This window comes from Homo sapiens, chromosome 8 (genome assembly GCF_000001405.40).
Source record: "Homo sapiens chromosome 8, GRCh38.p14 Primary Assembly".
NCBI classification, from domain to species: domain Eukaryota; kingdom Metazoa; phylum Chordata; class Mammalia; order Primates; family Hominidae; genus Homo; species Homo sapiens.
This window is the reverse complement of record NC_000008.11, coordinates 1,335,776-1,356,612: the sequence shown is the minus strand read 5'-3', so window position 1 is coordinate 1,356,612 and position 20,837 is coordinate 1,335,776. Positions and strand designations below refer to the sequence as shown.

The 20,837-nt window shown below is 49.8% G+C and overlaps 1 protein-coding gene and 1 long non-coding RNA gene across 2 annotated transcripts in view, besides 2 other annotated features; both read right to left on the bottom strand.

Moving 5' to 3' along the window:
- Positions 1–20,837, bottom strand: part of DLGAP2 (DLG associated protein 2) — a 970,849-nt gene that overhangs the window by 351,864 nt on the left and 598,148 nt on the right. The window lies entirely within an intron of this gene.
- LOC124901869 (uncharacterized) overlaps positions 1–20,837 on the bottom strand; it is a 36,226-nt gene that overhangs the window by 1,043 nt on the left and 14,346 nt on the right. The window lies entirely within an intron of this gene.
- Positions 5,363–5,890: an enhancer, noted in NCBI's record as "H3K27ac-H3K4me1 hESC enhancer chr8:1298889-1299416 (GRCh37/hg19 assembly coordinates)". NCBI's record gives its function as "activates a minimal SCP1, AML or CMV promoter by ChIP-STARR-seq in primed H9 embryonic stem cells {active_cell/tissue: H9 hESC(primed)}" and the evidence as "EXISTENCE:reporter gene assay evidence [ECO:0000049][PMID:30033119]".
- Positions 5,891–6,418: an enhancer, noted in NCBI's record as "H3K27ac-H3K4me1 hESC enhancer chr8:1298361-1298888 (GRCh37/hg19 assembly coordinates)". NCBI's record gives its function as "activates a minimal SCP1, AML or CMV promoter by ChIP-STARR-seq in naive H9 embryonic stem cells {active_cell/tissue: H9 hESC(naive)}" and the evidence as "EXISTENCE:reporter gene assay evidence [ECO:0000049][PMID:30033119]".

Here is a 20,837-nt window from a genome sequence, read left to right as displayed (position 1 = left end):
CCATTCCTGCGCATCTCCGTCATGTTCTGCCTGGGGGGCCACAGGGTAACTCTCACAGTGTGGACCCCGAGGGAGGAGCGCTTCCTGGCTTCCCATCCCAGGCCACCAGCACAGACAGAACCAGGACCCAGAGTCCGCAGCCCTGGAGACGCCCACTGCAGCCTCTGACGGGCATTTCCCCTGAAAGCGCTTGTGGTTTCACATGGTTTTATTTTTCTGGTTGGCATCCTAAACTTAATGAGCTTTAAACATCTAGAAAATGAGGATTTGTTTTACTGCCTGTAAACGTTGAAACCGTAAGGTGAGGGGAGTGATACAGCTGCAAAACCAGAGGACAGCTGACAGCAGGTGAGCTTTCTGCACCATGGCTCCCCGGGTCCCATGTCCCTGAGCAAAACCTTTCAAAGGGAGCCTCTCCAGGGGGCCACAGAGCAGCATCAACCACAGGGCAAGAGCCATGCAGGGGCTGTGAGGTCCACACGAACCGTCCGTCAACTCCCAGTGGGGCCCACCTTGTCCAGGGACCTGCACTGGCTGGCGTAGTGTGAGGGCCGCCCCATACTGACCGACAGTGCAGTGGCCCCGATCATGCAAGGCAGGGAGGGGGGAAATACACAAACACCCAAATGCGGAGCCTTGGGTGAGGCCACCGGTGCTTCCCAACACGCATGTACTTGAATTGCCTGTGCATGGAATGTGCTTAATTTGAATATGAACAGGTGATTATAATGCAGACAGGGACCCTAGGGTAGGAGTGAAGGGGACTAGCTTTGAGGGACTGGCTGGTGGGCATGGCCAGGACCGTGGGGTGGGGGTTGTGGGAGGAGACAGGGAGCCACACAGCTGTGGGGCACTTGTCCACAGGGACAGGACCAGTCTTGTTCAGAGCTCTGTGGCTACCAGTCAATCAAGCATTTGTTTTATTTTTTCATTAAAAAATACTCGTACTTGGCCAGGTGCGGTGGCTCATGCCTATAATCCCAGCACCCTGGGAGGCCGAGACAGGTGGATCATGAGGTCAGGAGTTCAAGACCAGCCTGACCAACATGGAGAAACCCCGCCTCTACTAAAAATACAAAAATTAGCCAAGCATGGTGGCACACACCTGTAATCCCAGCTACTCAGGAGGTTGAGGCAGGAGAATCGCTTGAACCCGGGAGGTGGAGGTTGCAGTGAGCCAAGATTGAGCCACTGCACTCCAACCTGGGTGACAGAGCGAGACTCCATCTCAAACAAAAACAAAAACAAAAAACCACTCATACTTGCTTAGATAAAAAAACAAAAACAATCTCCGACAATCTCACCACCCAGAGACAACCCCTGTTACTGCCTGTTAACACACAGGTGCTCTCTGCCTGTGCTGTGCACACTGGCACGCAGGTGTCACCGCTGTCACGCCAGCACGCGGGTGCCACCACTGTCACGGGCATGCAGTGTCACCGCTTTCACGGTGCTTTCTGCTCGGCTTTGCCACTTAAAACATACAACGCACATTTCCGTGACTTTCCACCTTCATCCACAGAATCATCCGTGACTTTCCACCCTCATCCACAGCATCATCCGTGACTTTCCACCCTCATCCACAGCATCATCCGTGACTTTCCACCCTCATCCGCAGCATCATCCGTGACTTTCCACCCTCATCCGCAGCATCATCCGTGACTTTCCACCCTCATCCGCAGCATCATCCGTGACTTTCCACCCTCATCCGCAGCATCATCCGTGACTTTCCACCTTCATCCGCAGCATCATCCGTGACTTTCCACCTTCATCCGCAGCATCATCCGTGACTTTCCACCTTCATCCGCAGCATCATCCGTGACTTTCCACCTTCATCCGCAGCATCATCCGTGACTTTCCACCTTCATCCGCAGCATCATCCGTGACTTTCCACCTTCATCCGCAGCATCATCCGTGACTTTCCACCTTCATCCGCAGCATCATCCGTGACTTTCCACCTTCATCCGCAGCATCATCCGTGACTTTCCACCTTCATCCGCAGCATCATCCGTGACTTTCCACCTTCACCCACAGCATCATCTTAATGGCCCCACAGTCTTTCATTCCAAGGTATTTTCTTTTCGTTCTTTCTTTTTTTCTGAGACAGTGTCTCGCTCTGTTGCTCAGGCTGGAGTGCAGCGGCTCAATATCAGCTCACTGTAACCTGTGCCTCCCGAGTTCAAGTGATTCTGGTGCCTCAGTCTCCCGAGTAGCTGGGACTACAAGCACGCACCACCACACCCAGATACTTTGTATTTTTTGTATTTTTAGAAGAGATGGGGTTTTGCCATGTTGCCCAGGCTGGTCTCAAACTCCTGGCCTCAGGCAATCCACCCGTCTTGGCCTCCCAAAGTGCTGGGATTACAGGTTTGAGCCACCGTGCCTGGCCTCCGTAAGTATTTTCTTTTTCTTAAATTACATCCCACTGGTGAGCAGGTTGTTTTTAACGGTTCATGCTGAGAGAATATCCTTTAAGGTAAATTTCCAGAATTACAATTTCTGGGTGAAGTTAATGAATATTTTTAAGGCTTCTGATACAACATTGCCCCCCTGAAGCCTGCACCTATTCATCCTTCTATAAACAGCACTGGCCACTGCCACTCCATCATAAATAGAAGAAGCACTAGGTTTTTAAAAAAACGTCCACTTACTTCATAGCTAGTGACGCTGGAAATTTTTCTTGGGCTAAATAACTGCTTTTTTCCCCTTCGCTGATTTTTTTCCCCTCTAGGGATATTAACCTGCATTTTTCATATTGATTTGAGATATTTTTCCCGTATTAAAAATTTTGTGTCAATGTATTGCAAATATTTTTCCTGTCGTGTTTTTGCCTTCTAATTTTGTTTACAAGGTTCTTTGACCTATAGAAATTTGAATCTTACGTTAAGTAAATTATTTTTCTTACTATTCCTAATTCATTTTCATGCTTCTAAAAGCTTGCTAATCTAAGATTTGCCTCTATTTTTATCATAGTACAAATACCCCTCACCTTATAATGGGGTTATGTCCTGACAAACCATCTTAAATGGAAAGCATTGTAAGTCAAAAATGCATTTAATACAGCTAAGCTACCAAACATTATAGCTTAGCCTGGCCAACCTTAAACGTGCTCAGAACACTTAGATGAGCCTGCAGCGGGGCAAGATCATCCGGCACAAAGCCTATTTCATCATAAAGTGAATACCTTACATAATTCATTGACCATGGTACTGAAAGCAAAAATCAGAAGGGTTGTGCGGAACTCGAAGTACAGTTTCTAATGAATGTGCATTACTTTCACAGCATCATAAAGTAAAACAATCTTATCGCACTGCTGTGAGCCAGGACCGTCTGTCCCTCTGTTCACATGTGTCTAGAGAAAGCCTCCTGTGCACACACAGCCCTGTGCTGGGAGCTGAGATGGAAGGAAGCTAATGCAGGACATCCTTACCTGCCTCTGAAAATCAACAGCACACGTGGGTGTGGGAAGCAAATGGACACCCTTAGGGATTTGCAAACTCCTCCAGATCACTGACCTCGGGGGGGTCCTTCGTCGTTTCTTGCTGTTCAAGGCAGCTCATGCCAGTTCAGGACATTGCTGAATCCTAGCAGGTTCTCCCTTCGGCTGAGTCAAAATCTGCCTTCAATCCTGTCTACACATGGGTATGGACTCAGAGCTCTGGAACAGTCAAAGAGCACCCCAATGGCAGGCTGAGCTGGAAGACCGGAGGCCCCATTCTCAGGCTCTCTCAGCCCTTCTCTCTCCTTCCTCCAGGATCTCCTGCGTCTCCAGAGAATGACTTACTATGGGATGAGCAGACCTTGGGTAGGGGCTGGGGAGTGGCATCCAAGGCTGGAAAAGTACCAACCTCAGAAAGGCAGGAGAAATGCATTTGCAGGGCACAGCGAGCTGTAAAACTCAGGGCAGAGAAGTCATGTAAAGAAGGAACGTGGACAAGGCCAGCCACGCCCCAGTCAGGGTTCGAGTCTTTACCTCAAAGCTTATTCAGAGAAATGGGCCAACTTCCAGGAATTGACATACTTACTAATTATTACAAACTTGGATGAATTAAAATGATATTATAATAAACACTCTAAGAATATTAATGTCATGGTGGCACTTAAGACGTCTGTCTGGGGTGGGAAGAGTTTTTAGGAAGTGATAAGAGCTGAGACCCAGCGGTGACCCCAGGAAGGGGAGGGAAGGGCAGGTACAGGGAGAGTCGCTGGGGAGAGGAAGAGATGGCCCCATGAGGAAGCCCCAGGGGGAGTCGCTGGGGACAGGAGGAGCACAGCCTTTCCACACACACTCAGGACCCGCACGGCCTTTCCACACACACGCTCAGGACCCGCACGTCCTTTCCACACACGATCAGGACCCACACGGCCTTTCCAAACACAGTCAGGACCCGCACGGCCTTTCCACACACAGTCAGGACCCGCACAGCCTATCCACACACACTCAGGACCCGCACGGCCTTTCCACACACAGTCAGGACCCGCACGGCCGTTCCACACACACTCAGGACCCGCACGGCCTTTCCACACACAGTCAGGACCCGCACGGCCGTTCCACACACACTCAGGACCCGCACGGCCTTTCCACACACAGTCAGGATCCGCACGGCCTTTCCACACACAGTCAGGACCCGCACGGCGTTTCCACACACACTCAGGACCCGCACGGCCTTTCCACACACAGTCAGGACGCGCACGGCCTTTCCACAGTCAGGACCCGCACGGCCTTTCCAAACACAGTCAGGACCTGCACGGCCTTTCCACGCACACTCAGGACCCGCATGGCCTTTCCACGCCACACGCAGGACGCGCACGTCCTTTCCACACACAGTCAGGACCCGCACGGCCTTTCCACACATAGTCAGGACCCGCACGGCCTTTCCACACACACTCAGGACCCGCATGGCCTTTCCACGCACAGTCAGGACCCACACGGCCGTTCCACACACAGTCAGGACCCGCACGGCCTTTCCACGCACACTCAGGACCCGCACGGCCTTTCCACGCCACACGCAGGACGCGCACGTCCTTTCCACACACAGTCAGGACCCGCACGTCCTTTCCACACACAGTCAGGACCCACACGGCCTTTCCACACACAGTCAGGACCCGCACAGCCTATCCACACACACTCAGGACCCGCACGGCCTTTCCACACACAGTCAGGACCCACACGGCCTTTCCACACACAGTCAGGACCCGCACAGCCTATCCACACACACTCAGGACCCGCACGGCCTTTCCACACACAGTCAGGACCCGCACGGCCGTTCCACACTCAGGACCCGCACGGCCTTTCCACACACACTCAGGACCCGCACGGCCTTTCCACACACAGTCAGGACCCGCACGGCCGTTCCACACACAGTCAGGACCCGCACGGCCTTTCCACACACAGTCAGGACCCGCACGGTGTTTCCACACACACTCAGGATCTGCACGGCCTTTCCACACACAGTCAGGACCCGCACGGTGTTTCCACACACACTCAGGATCTGCACGGCCTTTCCACACACAGTCAGGACCCGCACGGTGTTTCCACACACACTCAGGATCTGCACGGCCTTTCCACACACAGTCAGGACCCGCACGGCCGTTCCACACACAGTCAGGACCCGCACGGCCTTTCCACGCACACTCAGGACCCGCACGGCCTTTCCACACACACTCAGGACCCGCACGGCCTTTCCACACACAGTCAGGACCCGCACGGCCTTTCCACGCACAGTCAGGACCCGCGCGGCCTTTCCACACACTGTCAGGACCCGCACGGCCTTTCCACGCACACTCAGGACCCGCATGGCCTTTCCACGCACACTCAGGACCCGCACGGCCTTTCCACGCACGCTCAGGACCCGCGCGGCCTTTCCACACACACTCAGGACCCGCACGGCCTTTCCACGCACACTCAGGACCCGCACGGCCTTTCCACGCACACTCAGGACCCGCACGGCCTTTCCACGCACAGTCAGGACCCGCACGGCCTTTCCACGCACAGTCAGGACCCGCGCGGCCTTTCCACGCACAGTCAGGACCCGCGCGGCCTTTCCACGCACACTCAGGACCCGCACGGCCTTTCCACGCACTGTCAGGACCCGCACGGCCTTTCCACGCACAGTCAGGACCCGCGCGGCCTTTCCACGCACAGTCAGGACCCGCACGGCCTTTCCACGCACACTCAGGACCCGCGCGGCCTTTCCACGCACAGTCAGGACCCGCGCGGCCTTTCCACGCACAGTCAGGACCCACGCGGCCTTTCCACACACTGTCAGGACCCGCACGGCCTTTCCACGCACGCTCAGGACCCGCACGGCCTTTCCACGCACGCTCAGGACCCGCACGGCCGTTCCACACATGCTCAGGACCCGCACGGCCTTTCCACGCACACTCAGGACCCGCACGGCCTTTCCACGCACACTCAGGACCCGCGCGGCCTTTCCACGCCACAAGAGCATGAAGTAGTCGGGGATGTTTTTATTTCTTCCTGCAGTTTAATAACCAGCTGATTTTACAAATATGAATAAATTATTGGCACCTTATAAATGGTTTAATATCGAAACGGTTTCTATATTAAAGTCATCAATTTGCTCCCCTTTATATTAGTTGTAAGGTTATATGTGTTGTTTTGGTTGCTGAAAAAAAATAGAGCCTCTGTAAAGTACAGCATATTTGTAAGAATCTGCCTAGAGATATAGGCAAATGTGTTTGTTTTCAATATTAAACAAAGATAAACAGTCTATACAATGTAACTGAGGTACAGAATTTATTATATAGCAACAAAAGTTGTTAGAGCAATTCAAGGTGTCTGATGAGTTTGCACTTCTCTGTAAAGTCACCAGTGGTCTAATGGGGAAAGACACCATCCTTCCTCTTCCTACCTGTGTGTGGATGTGGGCGGGAGGCTCATGACATGCGTGGATGTGGGCAGGAGGCTCATGATAGTCTCCCTCAAACACCCCTTCCTACCTGTGTGTGGATGTGGGCGGGAGGCTCATGACATGCGTGGATGTGGGCAGGAGGCTCATGATAGTCTCCCTCAAACACCCCTTCCTATCTGTGTGTGGATGTGGGCGGGAGGCTCACGACAGTCCCCCTCAAACACCCCTTTCTACCTGTGTGTGGATGTGGGCGGGAGGCTCATGACATGAGTGGATGTGGGCAGGAGGCTGACGATAGTTCCCCTCAAACCCCCTTCCTACCTGTGTGTGGATGTGGGCGGCAGGCTCATGACATGCGTGGATGTGGGCACGAGGCTCACGATAGTCTCCCTCAAACACCCCTTCCTACCTGTGTGTGGATGTGGGCGGGAGGCTCATGACATGTGTGGATGTCGGCGGGAGGCTCGTGATAGTGCCCCCTCAAACACCTAGTTTAAGTATCTCAACTACATTAATACCACATTTTAATATTTAATGTGAGCGTACGACACAGCTGTGTTTTGTAAAGCTGTGTCTGTTTAGGTGAACGGGAAGGGAAAGAGACCTGATGGGCTTGCTGGCCCCTTAAAAACGGCAGCACTCTCTGAGCAGCACACTGCTGAGGTGACTTGGCAGGAGCAAGTGGCCGCATCTCCACCCTGCAGCTAATTTATCTCACCATGAGTTCCAGAAAGATAAATGAATGCTAAGAATATTTAAAAATATCTCTAAGGAAGGCGACAGACCATGGTGACCATTCTTCAATATAATCCAGGTCACATCCAAAATCCAAACCTGAGATGATGCCACAAGATTCCAAAGGCACAAGCAGGACATGGATGGGGAAGCAGCCAACGTGAGGTGGGGACTGATACTGGCTGGTGCTGAATCCATCAACACGCTCCACCGCATACACAATGGGTTGGCTCCTTTGCAAAGCCATCATGAGTGTAAGACAGCAGAGCATGGGCACTCAACCTCCGCACAGCGGCCATGAGAGCAATGCAGCTCTGCTGGGCACTCAACCTCCACACAGCCACCATGAGAGCAATGCAGCTCTGTGTGGGAACTCAACCTCCACACAGCTACCATGAGTGCAATGCAGATGTTAATGGGAACTCAACCTCCACATAGCTACCACGAGTGCAATGCAGCTCTATGTGGGAACTCAATCTCCAAACAGCTATCATGAGTGCAATGTAGCTCTGTATGGGAACTCAACCTCCACACAGTTACCATGAGAGCAATGTAACTCTGTATAGGAACTCAGCCTCCAGACAGTTACCATGAGAGCAGCGCAGCTCTGTGTGGGAACTCAACCTCCACACAGCTACCATGAGTGCAATGTAGCTCTGTGTAGGAACTCAATCTCCACACAGCTACCATGAGTGCAATGCAGCTCTATGTGGAAACTCAACCTCCACACAGCCACCATGAGTGCAATGTAGCTCTGTGTAGGAACTCAATCTCCAAACAGCTACCATGAGTGCAATGCAGCTCTATGTGGAAACTCAACCTCTACACAGCTACCATGAGTGCACTGTAGCTCTGTATGGGAACTCAACCTCCACACAGCTAACACGAGAGCAATGTAGCTCTGTATAGGAACTCAGCCTCCAGACAGTTACCATGAGAGCAGCGCAGCTCTGTGTGGGAACTCAACCTCCACACAGCTACCATGAGTGCAATGCAGCTCTGTATGGGAACTCAACCTCCACACAGCTACCATGAGTGCAATGTAGCTCTGTATGGGAACTCAATCTCCACACAGCTACCATGAGTGCAATGTAGCTCTGTATGGGAACTCAACCTCCACACAGCTACCATGAGTGCAATGTAGCTCTGTATGGGAACTCAATCTCCACACAGCTAACATGAGTGCAATGTAGCTCTGTATAGGAACTCAACCTCCACACAGTTACCATGAGTGCAATGTAGCTGTGTATGGGAACTCAACCTTCACACAGCTACCATGAGTGCAACGCAGCTCTGTATAGGAACTCAGCCTCCAGACAGTTACCATGAGAGCAGCGCAGCTCTGTGTGGGAACTCAACCTCCACACAGCTACCATGAGTGCAAAGCAGCTCTGTATGGGAACTCAACCTCCACACAGTTACCAAGACAGCAATGTAGCTCTGTGTAGGAACAAAACCTCCGCACAGCTACCATGAGTGCAATGTAGCTCTATGTGGGAAATGAACCTACACACAGCCCCCATGAGAGCAATGCAGCTCTGTATGGGAACTCAACTTCCACATAGTTGCCATGAGTGCAATGCAGATGGGTATGGGAACTGAACCTCCACACAGCTACCATGAGAGCAATGCAGATGTGTATGGGAACTCAACCTCCACCCAGCTACCATGAGAGCAATGCAGCTCTGTGGGGGAACTCAACCTCCACACAGCTACCGTGAGTGCAGTGTAGCTCTATGTGGGAACTCAACCTACACACAGCCACCATTAGAGCAATGCAGCTCTGTGTAGGAACTCTACCTCCACACAGCCGCCATGAGAGCAATGCAGCTCTGTACAGGAACGCAACCTCCACACAGCCGCCATGAGAGCAATGCAGCTCTGTGTGGGAACTCAAACTCCACATAGCTACAATGAGTGCAATTCAGCTCTGTGTGGAACTCATCCTCCGCACAGTTACCATGAGAGCAGTGCAGCTCTGTATGGTAACTCAACCTCCACACAGCTACCATGAGTGCAATGCAGCTCTGTATGGGAACTCAACTTCCACAGAGCTACCATGAGAGCAATGCAGACGTGTATGGGAACTCAACCTCCACACAGCTACCGTGAGTGCAACGCAGCTCTGTATGGGAACTCAACCTCCACACAGCTACCATGAGTGCAATGCAGCTCTGTATGGGAACGCAACCTCCACACATCTACCATGAGTTCAAAGCAGTTCTGTATAGGAACTCAACCTCCACACAGCTACCGTGAGTGCAATTCAGCTCTGTATGAGAACTCAACCTCCACACAGCTACCATGAGTTTAAAGCAGCTCTGTATGGGAACTCAACCTCCACACAGCTACCGTGAGTGCAATGCAGCTCTGTTTCAGAACTCAACCTCCACACAGCTACCATGAGAGCAATGCAGATGTGTATGGGAACTCAACACCCACACAGCTACCATGAGTGCAATGCAGCTCTGTATGGGAACTCAACCTCCACACAGCTATCATGAGAGCAATGCAGATGTGTATGGGAACACAACCTCCACATAGCTGCCATGAGAGCAATGCAGATGTGTACAGGGAACTCAACCTCCACACAGCTACCGTGAGTGCAATGCAGCTCTGTATGGGAACTCAAACTCCACACAGCCGCCATGAGAGCAATGCAGATGTGTATGGGAACGCAACCTCCACACAGCTACCATGAGAGCAATGCAGATGTGTATGGGAACTCAACATCCACACAGCTACCATGAGAGCAATGCAGATGTGTACGGGGAACTCAACCTCCACACAGCTACCGTGAGTGCAATGCAGCTCTGTATGGGAACTCAAACTCCACACAGTTACCATCAGAGCAGTGCAGACGTGTATGGGCTTTTGACTTCCACACAGACACCATAAGGGAAATGCAGCTCTGCCGGGCACTCAACCTCCACTCAGCCACCATGAGCACAGTGCCCATGGCGTGGGCATTGAGCCTGTCCCATCTGCACTGGACACAGGAGCTGGTGCCAGAGTCTGGACCCTGTTTCTATGGGCAGCTCAAGGGCTCGGAAGTTAAGCGCTGCCTTGTGTCTTTCCTGCCTGGAGTCACTTCACGTCCCCGAGTTTGCTTCCTTCCTATAGGGCAACCACTAGCGATAATGACAAGCAGTGCACTCTAAGCACGCTCAGTTAATTTTACAACAATGCTGAGGTAGGTGTTACAAGCATCATTACACTGATCAAAGAAAAAAAGCCTAGAAAGTTTCAATAACTTGTGTTTGAAACAACATCTGTCTGATTCCAAAGCATGAGCCCTTCACCACCCTCTGTGCATTTTCCTGAAGTGGGGTCATTCCCTGTCCTGCCCATCCCTCAGGGCTGCTGTGCACTGATCAGACGTGTTAACACACATGAAGGACTATGACAACCAAGGAATTACATCCACACAATGTGTTTTCTTAAGACAATAAAGATGGCTTATCAGATTAAAATGTGTACAACAGAAAAACTTATGCCAAGTAATATCAAAAACTATTTTCAACAAAGGGAGAGAGAGTGAAATCATTTGTTTATTTTGTCATAGACGTAGTTTATTTAGATTTGGCAACTCGGGCAAAATGGGGGAAACTACATGCAGTGTACTTATTCTCAACAGCAGAGGAAAGAAATCTAACAAGTGTGTTTGGCGAAGAGAAACAGAACAACCGCACACTCTGCTCTGAAGGAACTGAACCTCCATCTTAAGCAGAGAAACAGACCGCACACTCTGCCCTGAAGGAACTGAGCCTGCACCTTCAGCAGAGGATACAGTAGTGCTCCTCAGAACTCTACTTCACAGAAAATGTACTGGGCCCTAATGAATTTCCTTGGTCTCAACACTGTACCAAAACCGAATTATGTCATTTATATAAGCAGCTAAGCTAATTGTTCCCGAGTCATGAACTTTGCAAAGGGCCAGATAACTGAGCTTTCAAATGATTCCTCTGAAAGATGAATGGTCCCAATATCAAATTTGGAAGGACTTTTATTGAAAGTGATTAACTGGCGGTCTAGCCCTCTGGTAGTGCCTGGTGATGTTGAGTCCTCTTCACCAAGACCCTGTCCTTTGACCGGAAGTGGAATATTTCGGTCCAGGAGGGAGGCCAGCCTTCATAGTCCAGTCTCTCATTCATTAGTTCAACAAACATGTGTTCTGTACCTGCTGTGAGTCAGACACACGCCCAGTCCTGCACAGATGCCTCAGTTACCAGTGATCCCCAAGGAGGAGTGCAGAAAATGGAGCCGAGCACAGCGTTAAGATGTAGCGGATAGACCAGTGTGGGGTTACGGAGGAGCGCGGGAGACTGAGTGGAGAATGAGTGGAGCCCAGCGTTAGGATGTAGCAGATAGACCAGTGCCGGGTTTTCCTGAACACAGAGGTACATGCACTCTTAGTCTATCATAGGAATTACTCCATAGAATCTCTGTGACATCCTTATGGAGAAAATGTGAATATTCCGATTTTACAGATAGGGAAACTGAGGCACAAAGTGCTTCAGTAACTAATGTCAAACAGGTGAGTCTGAGTCCCGACTTTTACCCACATGGCCACCTAATCTGGAGAGCAGCTGCTCAGAGAAAGTGACACTAGACCTCTCTGGAGGATTCACAGCTGTGTCCCGGCCATGTGCGAGGTGTGAGGGCAATGCAGGTGGCACCCTGAAGGCTGTTGTCTGCACAGACCCGCCAGCCACCCACAATGCCTGGGCACGTAGCTCGAGGGGAGACTGGGCGAAGTGTGCAGCTACAGATTCTACACGGCACAGGCCCCACGACAGGGCCCCGAGTACACGGACCCACGACAGCGCCCCGAGTACAAAGACCCACGACAGGGCCCCGAGTACACGGACCCACGACAGGGCCCCGAATACATGGACCCACGACAGGGCCCCGAGTACGACATTTGCAGGCATTACTCCATTACTGTAAAGACAGGACCTGTTTATTCTGTGAATGAACCGGAAACATCTGTGAATAGGACGTTGGTAAATGCAGGTCTCCTCTGTCCGCCATGTTTCTCTGTACACCTGCCCTCGGCCAGGAGGGAAAGCCCTGATATACCTCACCTGGCAGGGAGCTCGCACCCGTGAGAAGCGTGAGAGGGCTGAGCTCCCCCTACTCCCTGGAATTGGAGCATCATCTGCTCTGTCACGGGTGGACGTGCAGGGAGGATCTCGTGCCACAGCAGGCGTGAAGCCCACAGCACTGCCCCCGCCTCTTGGAGAGGCCTCCGTTCCACTGTCGTGCACATCGGAGCCTCTAACACCCCCCACGACCCCCCAGATGCAAACTGCTCCAAAAGCTGACTGCGGAACCATTTCCCTGTTTTTATCAAGGAAAAACAGGACGTGCATTTACTTGGCATGCAGTAAAGGGTTAATATTTCCAAGAAAGTTCTGGTTTTGACCAGCGCCTCTGGGGTAACCTGTTGGCCTTTGGGGCTTCCAGCCTGAGAGAGTCTTTGCTTACCTGGGCCCTGGGCCATGTGGTGCCAGTTTTCCCTCTGAGGGAGCTGGAGACCAGGCATCTAGGCTCAGTCACTTGGGCACCCCAAGCCTACATGATGGACCCCAAGAAAACCCCAGGACACAGGCTCGTGGGCAACTCCGGTTGGCCGTGTCTGTGAGTCTTGTCCTATGTATGTCACCGGTGGGACATTAAGCACTGCCTGTGTGACTCCACGGGAGAGACACCTGGAGGCTCAGGCCTGGTCTGTCCTGAGCCCTGCCCTGCGCACCTCTCACCGTGGCGGACTTAATCGGTGCCCTTTTGCTGTGCTAGACCATAACCATGCACACTGCTTTTCTGTGTCCTTCTGGCATATCCTGAGCCTCCAGGTGGTCTTGGGGACTTCTGCACGCTTGGTGAATAATTAAGCACCATCTACTAAGGACTGGCCAGTGTTTGTGTCTCCGGTTTGTGAAAATATGAACAAAAAGTACAGAAATTAATGTGGCAAGAACAGATTTCTCAATAATCTCTGTGCTCCCAGCACCCCGCACCCATGCACGACCATGTGCCAGAGGCTACAATTACGGAAAAAGAGAAACAGCTGGTGCCTGGCACCTGGTCTCACGGCAAAGACGGCAGAAAGCAGTTTAGAAGGAAAGCAAAAGGTAAGGGAAAGAATTGTGACTTGGAACTTAGAAATACAGCGCTAAATCACAGGAGAAATGACAAATAGGCACCACATGAGTCTTTCCGGCACTTCAACACACACACCGCATTTCACAAGCTTGTTAATTTTCGTTTTGAAGTTCTGCTTAGTCATTTTCAATTAATGTTAAGAGAGGAATATAAAGTTAGGGATGAGAAATAACAGAAAATTCAGCATTCGCATGTGATAACGCACTTGCTGAAATGCCAGCACGGTGCACAGCCAGCCTTTGGCACTTGTACCTGTCAGGAATCGAAACTTACCCTACCACAAATGTACAGCAGATGCGACTGAGCCGCACGGCCCACAAACCCAAACTATTAACTACTTGGCCCTTCACAGAAAAAGTTAGCTGAACTGTGCTCGGTACCATTCAATAACAACAGAGTGGGTCAACACTATGTACACTACAATGTATTACATGTAACTTAAAATCGGAAGACCTGCCATACATCACAAATTAAACGCATCATCTGTGGGACCCAGCAATGCACTAAATTGCTGGAAATAATATGTGAGGTTGGGAGGTTTGCAATCCAGTCTCTGCCTGAAACAAGTCACTTAAAACCTCACAACCTGGCCAGGTGCGGTGGCTCACACCTGTAATCCCAGCACTTTGGGAGGCTGAGGTGGGCCGATTGCTTGAGACCAGGTATTGAGACCAGCCTGGGGAAGCAACATGGTAAAACCCCATCTGTACAGAAAAATCAGCTGGGGGTAGGGGCACCTGCCTGTTGCCCCAGCTACCTGGGAAGCTGAGGTGAGAGAATCACCTCAGCCCAGAAGGTCGAGGCTGCAGTGACCTGAGATCACACCATTGCACTCCAGCCCGGGTGACAGAGAGAGATGCCGTCTCAAAAAATAAAACAAAGCAAAACAAATCAAAACAAACACAACAAAACAAAACCTCAGACCTCAATTGCTTCACCCGCAGGCTAGAATCCCACAGTGCATGAACTGATTTCAGCTCCCATAAGCTACAGGTCCATGTTCTGTAGGCAATGTGCCAGGGCCTGCAGATGGAGGGACCCTGCGGACAGCATTCCTACTGCAGCTGGGAAATGACACCTGCTAGCACACCCTGCTAACGTGCCCAAAAGGGCGGGCAGTGATGGGAGACACCAGAGGGTCAGGGGCTCATCTCTGTTTCCCTAGGAGCCCCTCTGGTCAAGACAGCCCACAAGTTCATATTTACCTGCAAAGATTATGGGGAAAACGACACAGAACTAACTTTTGTACGGGGTCAGCCACAGTCATCTCCTTCCCATCTCTGATTTTTTTGAGACATGGCTTCAACTAACTCATCCAGCCCATACTGTAGGCAGAACTGCTGATGTGGGTATTCCATTAAATACGCCTATATGTGTTTCAGAGAGGAGTGATTTATGAAGCTAACGTTCAATAACAATTTGGCTATGAATAATTTCTGGGTAAGATCTAATAAAATTAAATGTACTGCAAAAAGAAAGTATGCCAAAAGGACTGCACGTCTCTGTTGAAAAATGCTGGGGGATATGAAACACGCTTATTTTTCAAACAAAAGGAGAATATTTGAAAACTTATTTGATATGTATCTCATTTTTTAACTTTGATTTTACATTCAGGGGTCCATGCGCAGGTGTCTTTCATAGGTAAACTTGTGTCATGGGGATTTGTTGTACAGATTATTTCATCACCCAAGTATTAAGCCTACTATCAATTAGTTACTTTCCTGATCCTCTCCCTCCTCCCACCCTCCTCCTCCCACAGGTCCCAGTGTGTGTTGTTCCCCTCTATGTGTCCGTGAGTTCTCATCATTTAGCTCCTACTTACAGGTGAGAACATGCAGTATTTGGTTATCTGTTCCTGCACTAGTTTGCTAGGGATAATGGCCTCCAGCTCCATCCATATCCCTGCAAAAGACATGATTTCATTCTTTTTTATGTCTGCATAGTATTCCATGGTGTACATATACCACATTTTCTTTATCCAATCTACCATTGATGGCATTTAGGTTGATTCCACGTCTCTGCTATTGTGAACTGTGCTGCAGTGAACACACATGTGCATGTGTGTCTGTGCATGTCACAGAAGGGTTTCTATTCCTTTGGGTCTATACCCACTAATGGCATTGCTGAGTCCAATGGTGTTTGTCTTTAGGTCTCCAAGGAACCACCACACTGTCTTCCACAGTGGCTGAATTACTTTACACTCCCAGCTAACAGTGTGTAAGCATTTCTTTCTCTCCACAACCTCACCAGCATCTGTTATGTTTTCACTTTTTAATAACCGCCATTCTGACTGCTGTGAGACGGCATCTCATGGTGGTTTTGATTTGCATTTCTTTAATGGTCAGTGATGTTGAGCTTTTCTTCAAACGACTGCTGGCTGCACATATGTCTTCTTTTGAAAAGTGTCTGTTCCTGTTGTTTGTCCGCTTTTTAATGGTTTTTTTCTTACAAATGTGTTTAAATTCCTCATAGATGCCAGATATTAGACCTTTGTGGGATGCATAATTTGCAAAAATTTTCTCCCATTCTGTAGGTTGCCTGTTTGCTCTGATGCTAGTTTCTTTTGTTGTGCAGAAGCTCCTTAGTTTAATTAAATCCCATTTGTCAATTTTTGCTTTTGTTGCCATTGCTTTTGGTGTCTCTGTCATGAAATCTTTGCCAGTTCCCATGTCCAGAATGGTACTGCCTAGGTTTTCTTCTGGGATTTTTATAGTTTTGGGTTTTAAAGTCTTCAATGCATCTTGAATTAATTTTGGCATATGGTGGAAGAAAGGGGTCCAGTTTCTGCACACGTCCTGCCAGTTCTCCCAGTACCATGGATTGAATAAGGAACCCTTTCTAAACATAAGGTATTTGAATGATTTTCTCATGTACATTTAAGCAAGATCACGATACTAGCTGTTTGCACAGCTTCCTGTCAATATACACATATTTTGTCTTTGAATCACAGGATCCCAGAGATAAAAAAATAAGTTCCACCTTTTATCTATTATCAGAGCTTCTCCTAGAGAATTCCTTCCAGCAGTGCTGAGCCATCGCCTTCCATGCTATTTGGAGTATCTGGATCTAGGAACACACAGCGCAGGGCAGGTGGCTCCTCTGCCCTGATGCGCCCGGGTGAGACTTCGCCTCTGAGACTCCGGATCCCCCTATTAAACGAAGGTCACAATGGCCAAAAGAATGCACAGGATTACATGAGATAACCCATGTGAAGCTCCTGTTACAGATTCTACATCAGAAAACATGGAAAAAAATAATACACTGAGAAATACTGAAGACTACTTACGTGACACGGAAGCTTGTTCCCACTGGGGGTGTCAGGGGACAGTGCTGCGGTTCCAGAATGGAGCTCACCAAGGGAGGGTCCCTGTGTGCTCCAGGCTCCCGAGGCTGTCCCAGGAATCACCTTCTTGCTGATGCCTCACTGAGGTCACTGCATTCCCTCCAGGGTCCTGACGCCTTACTGAAGTCACTGCATTCCCTCCCGGGTCCTCATGCCTCACTGAGGTCACTGCATTCCCTCCCGGGTCCTGATGCCTCACTGAGGTCACTGCATTCCCTCCCGGGTCCTGACGCCTCGCTGAGGTCACTGCATTCCCTCCCGGGTCCTGACGCCTCACTGAGGTCACTGCCTTCCCTCACACGTCCTGACGCCTCGCTGAGGTCACTGCCTTCCCTCCCGGGTCCTGATGCCTCACTGAGGTCACTGCATTCCCTCCCGGGTCCTGACGCCACGCTGAGGTCACTGCCTTCCCTGCCAGGTCCTGATGCCTCACTGAGGTCACTGCATTCCCTGCCAGGTCCTGACACTTCCCTTAGGTCACTGCATTCCCTGCCAGGTCCTGACGCCTCACTGAGGTCACTGCATTCCCTGCCAGGTCCTGACGCCTCACTGAGGTCATTGCATTCCCTGCCAGGTCCTGACGCCTCACTGAGGTCACTGCATTCCCTGCCAGGTCCTGACGCCTCACTGAAGTCACTGCATTCCCTGCCAGGTCCTGACACTTCCCTTAGGTCACTGCATTCTCTCCCAGGTCCTGACACCATGGTACTTCCCGTTCAGTCTCCACAGGGTGCGTACCTCATCCTGCAACGTGTCCTGGGCTCACTCTCTCCCCATTATGGGACCGTATGCTCCTGATACTGTACAGATCGTGTCTTTAGTTTTTGGTTTGTTTTAGATTTTTAAAATAAAGACATAATTAAGATATAAAATTTACTCTTTCAAGGTTTACAACTTGGTGGTTTTATATATTCACAAAGGTGTGCAAGAATCACCGCTATGTAATTTCAAAGGATTTGCATCACCCCAAAACATATTCTGTATCAATCAGCAGTTACTCCTTCCTTCCTGCCCCCAGACCCAGGCAATTTAGTTTCTGTCTCTACAGATTTGCCTGTCCTGGACATTTCATATAAATAGAATCATGCAGTAGGTGGACTTGAGTCTGGCTTCTCTCATTTCACATAATATTTGCATCTGTATGTGGTGTGGGCTCCATCATACGTGTGGCCTGCACTTTATCCCTTGGCCAGCAGATGGGCTAATGGGGAACATCTGCTGTTTCCATTTTCTGGCTAAGCAATGCTGCTGTGGACACTTGTGTGTGAGTTTCTGTGTAGACATACGTCTTCATTTCTCTGGGATGAATGCTTAGGAATACACACACTGGGTCATAAGGTAACTGTCTGTTTAACTTTGTGTGGAATTTCCTAACTAAACCACATGGCTGCACCATTTTACGTGCCCATGGGCTGTCTCTGAAGGGCCTGGTTTCTCCAGTCCTCAGCAATACTTGTCATTGTCCATTCTTCAGTGACAGCCGTCCTAGTGGGAATGCAATTGCATCTCATCTTGGTTTTGATTTGAATTTTTGTAACGACTCATGATGTTGAGCTTCCCTGTACTTAGTGGAACATTTGCAGGCCTTCTTTGGAGAACTGTTTATTCAAGTATTTTGCCCATTTTTAATTTGACTGGTCTTTTTCACTGAATTGGAAGAATTCTTTATATAACCCAGACACTAGAGTCTTCTCAGATAACTGATTTGCAGATATTTTCTACCATTTTATCGGTTGTATTTTCACTTTCTAGATTGTGTCTTTTGAAGCACGAAAGATGTCAATAAAGTTTGTCTGTTTTTATCCTTGTGTTGCTTATGCTTTTGGTGTCACATCTAAGAAACCACTGCCTAACCATTTTTTGGGGGGATGAATTAATGCATGAATCAATGAGGAACCCAAGCATGCCATCTTCCTCCTCCTCTTCATCACCACCACCATTATGATCATCATCATCATCATCACTATCATCAGCATCACCATCATCATCCTCATCACCACTATCATCCCCATCCCCATCATCCTCACCATTCTCACCATCATCACCATCATCATCATCACCATCACCATCATCCTCACCATCACCATCATCACCATCATCCTCACCATCACCATCATCATCACTGTCATCCTCACCCCCATCATCCTCACTATTACCATCATCACCATCATTCTCACCATCACATCATCCTCATCATCACCATCGCCACCACCACCATCATCCTCATCATCACCACCATCATCACCATCATTCTCACCACCACCATCATCCTCATCATCATCACCATCATCACCATCATTCTCACCACCACCATCATCATCATCACCACCATCATCACCATCATTCTCACCACCATTATCATCCTCATCATCATCATTATCTATTTCTTCTTCACCTCCTCCTCCTCTCTATCTTCTCATCATGTCACACACTGTCATTACTGGTTACTATGTACTGATCACCAATGACTATTCTAGAGACTCATTGCCTCTGCTCCTCACTCCCATATGGTCAATAATATCTTCATTTTAGGGTGGGATAACTTGTACTTAGAAAATATGAATTGCTCAATGTCATTTTGCTAGTGAAAAGCATGTTTTTCTGATTCCAGAATCAATACCTTTTAACTACTCCTTAAATTCCTTTGCAGTAAACATTAGGAAAAATGTGTGTATGTATTAAATGAACAACAGCTCTTAAGTAGTTTATTAAAAGAGGGTGAGAGGAGCCCACTGCTTTCACTAGTAAGCTGAGAGGTCACTGAATGCATCTGTCTTATTTAGGGGTGAGAAAAGAGTGGCTCAACAGAAGCAAGACACGTTCCTTGAGGGGCCCCAGCCTGTTCCAGATGCATCGGAGGTGCAGAAGCCACAGAGGCTGCTGGTGTCCAGGCCCCTGTGACTAGTCTGAACCAGTTGTGCCAAGCCCAGACCCCAGCCAAAGTCCTTCCTGTGCTGGGAAAGGCTTCCGGCACAGAGTTGCGTGTGTTTCAGTGGCACACTGGAACGTCCTCATAACGGACGTCTGTAAAGACGAGGGAAAGAGCCCAGACTTCTACCGGCCGGTTCTTGACAGCCTGTGGATGCACGGTGCCTTTCCTCCTCCTCCTCGCCACTTTTCCTCCAGCTCTTTCCTTCCTTTCTCTCACCACCCCTCTCCCTTCTTCACTTCCACCCTTTCTTCCCAGAACGAAGGTGCTTCAGATCTCAGAGTTGCTTGACTGTTTCCATGCTAGCATTGAATCAGCATCTTCAAAATAAATCCAGTTAACAAAAATAGTTACATTCAAAACCATTCATTGAATACATTATTTAATGCTCAGAACGAATCCACAGAAAGGAGGGACCCATGGGGTCACCAATGTGGGGAGGAACAGGGTGGTCTTGGATGCAGCAGCCAAGACTGCACATGTGGAGGACCAGGCTTGACATGAGACGGGCTGAACGCCCAGCACCGCTCAGAGTTTCTTTATATTGTGATGTTTTCCCCCCTGGAGCTCTTTACCGGAAAAAGCACAAAGCCCCAGTTCTATGGGCCCTGATGCCTCCCGCGTCACCACGCGCAGCCCCGGCTCTAGGGTCCTGATGCCTCCCGCGTCACCACGCGCAGCCCCGGCTCTGCCACACTTTGCTTCCCTTAGTTTCCTTTTAGCCACATTTTCTTATTTATCTGAAACTTGTTTTATTGCACCACAATAAACCCACTCTGGAACAAGG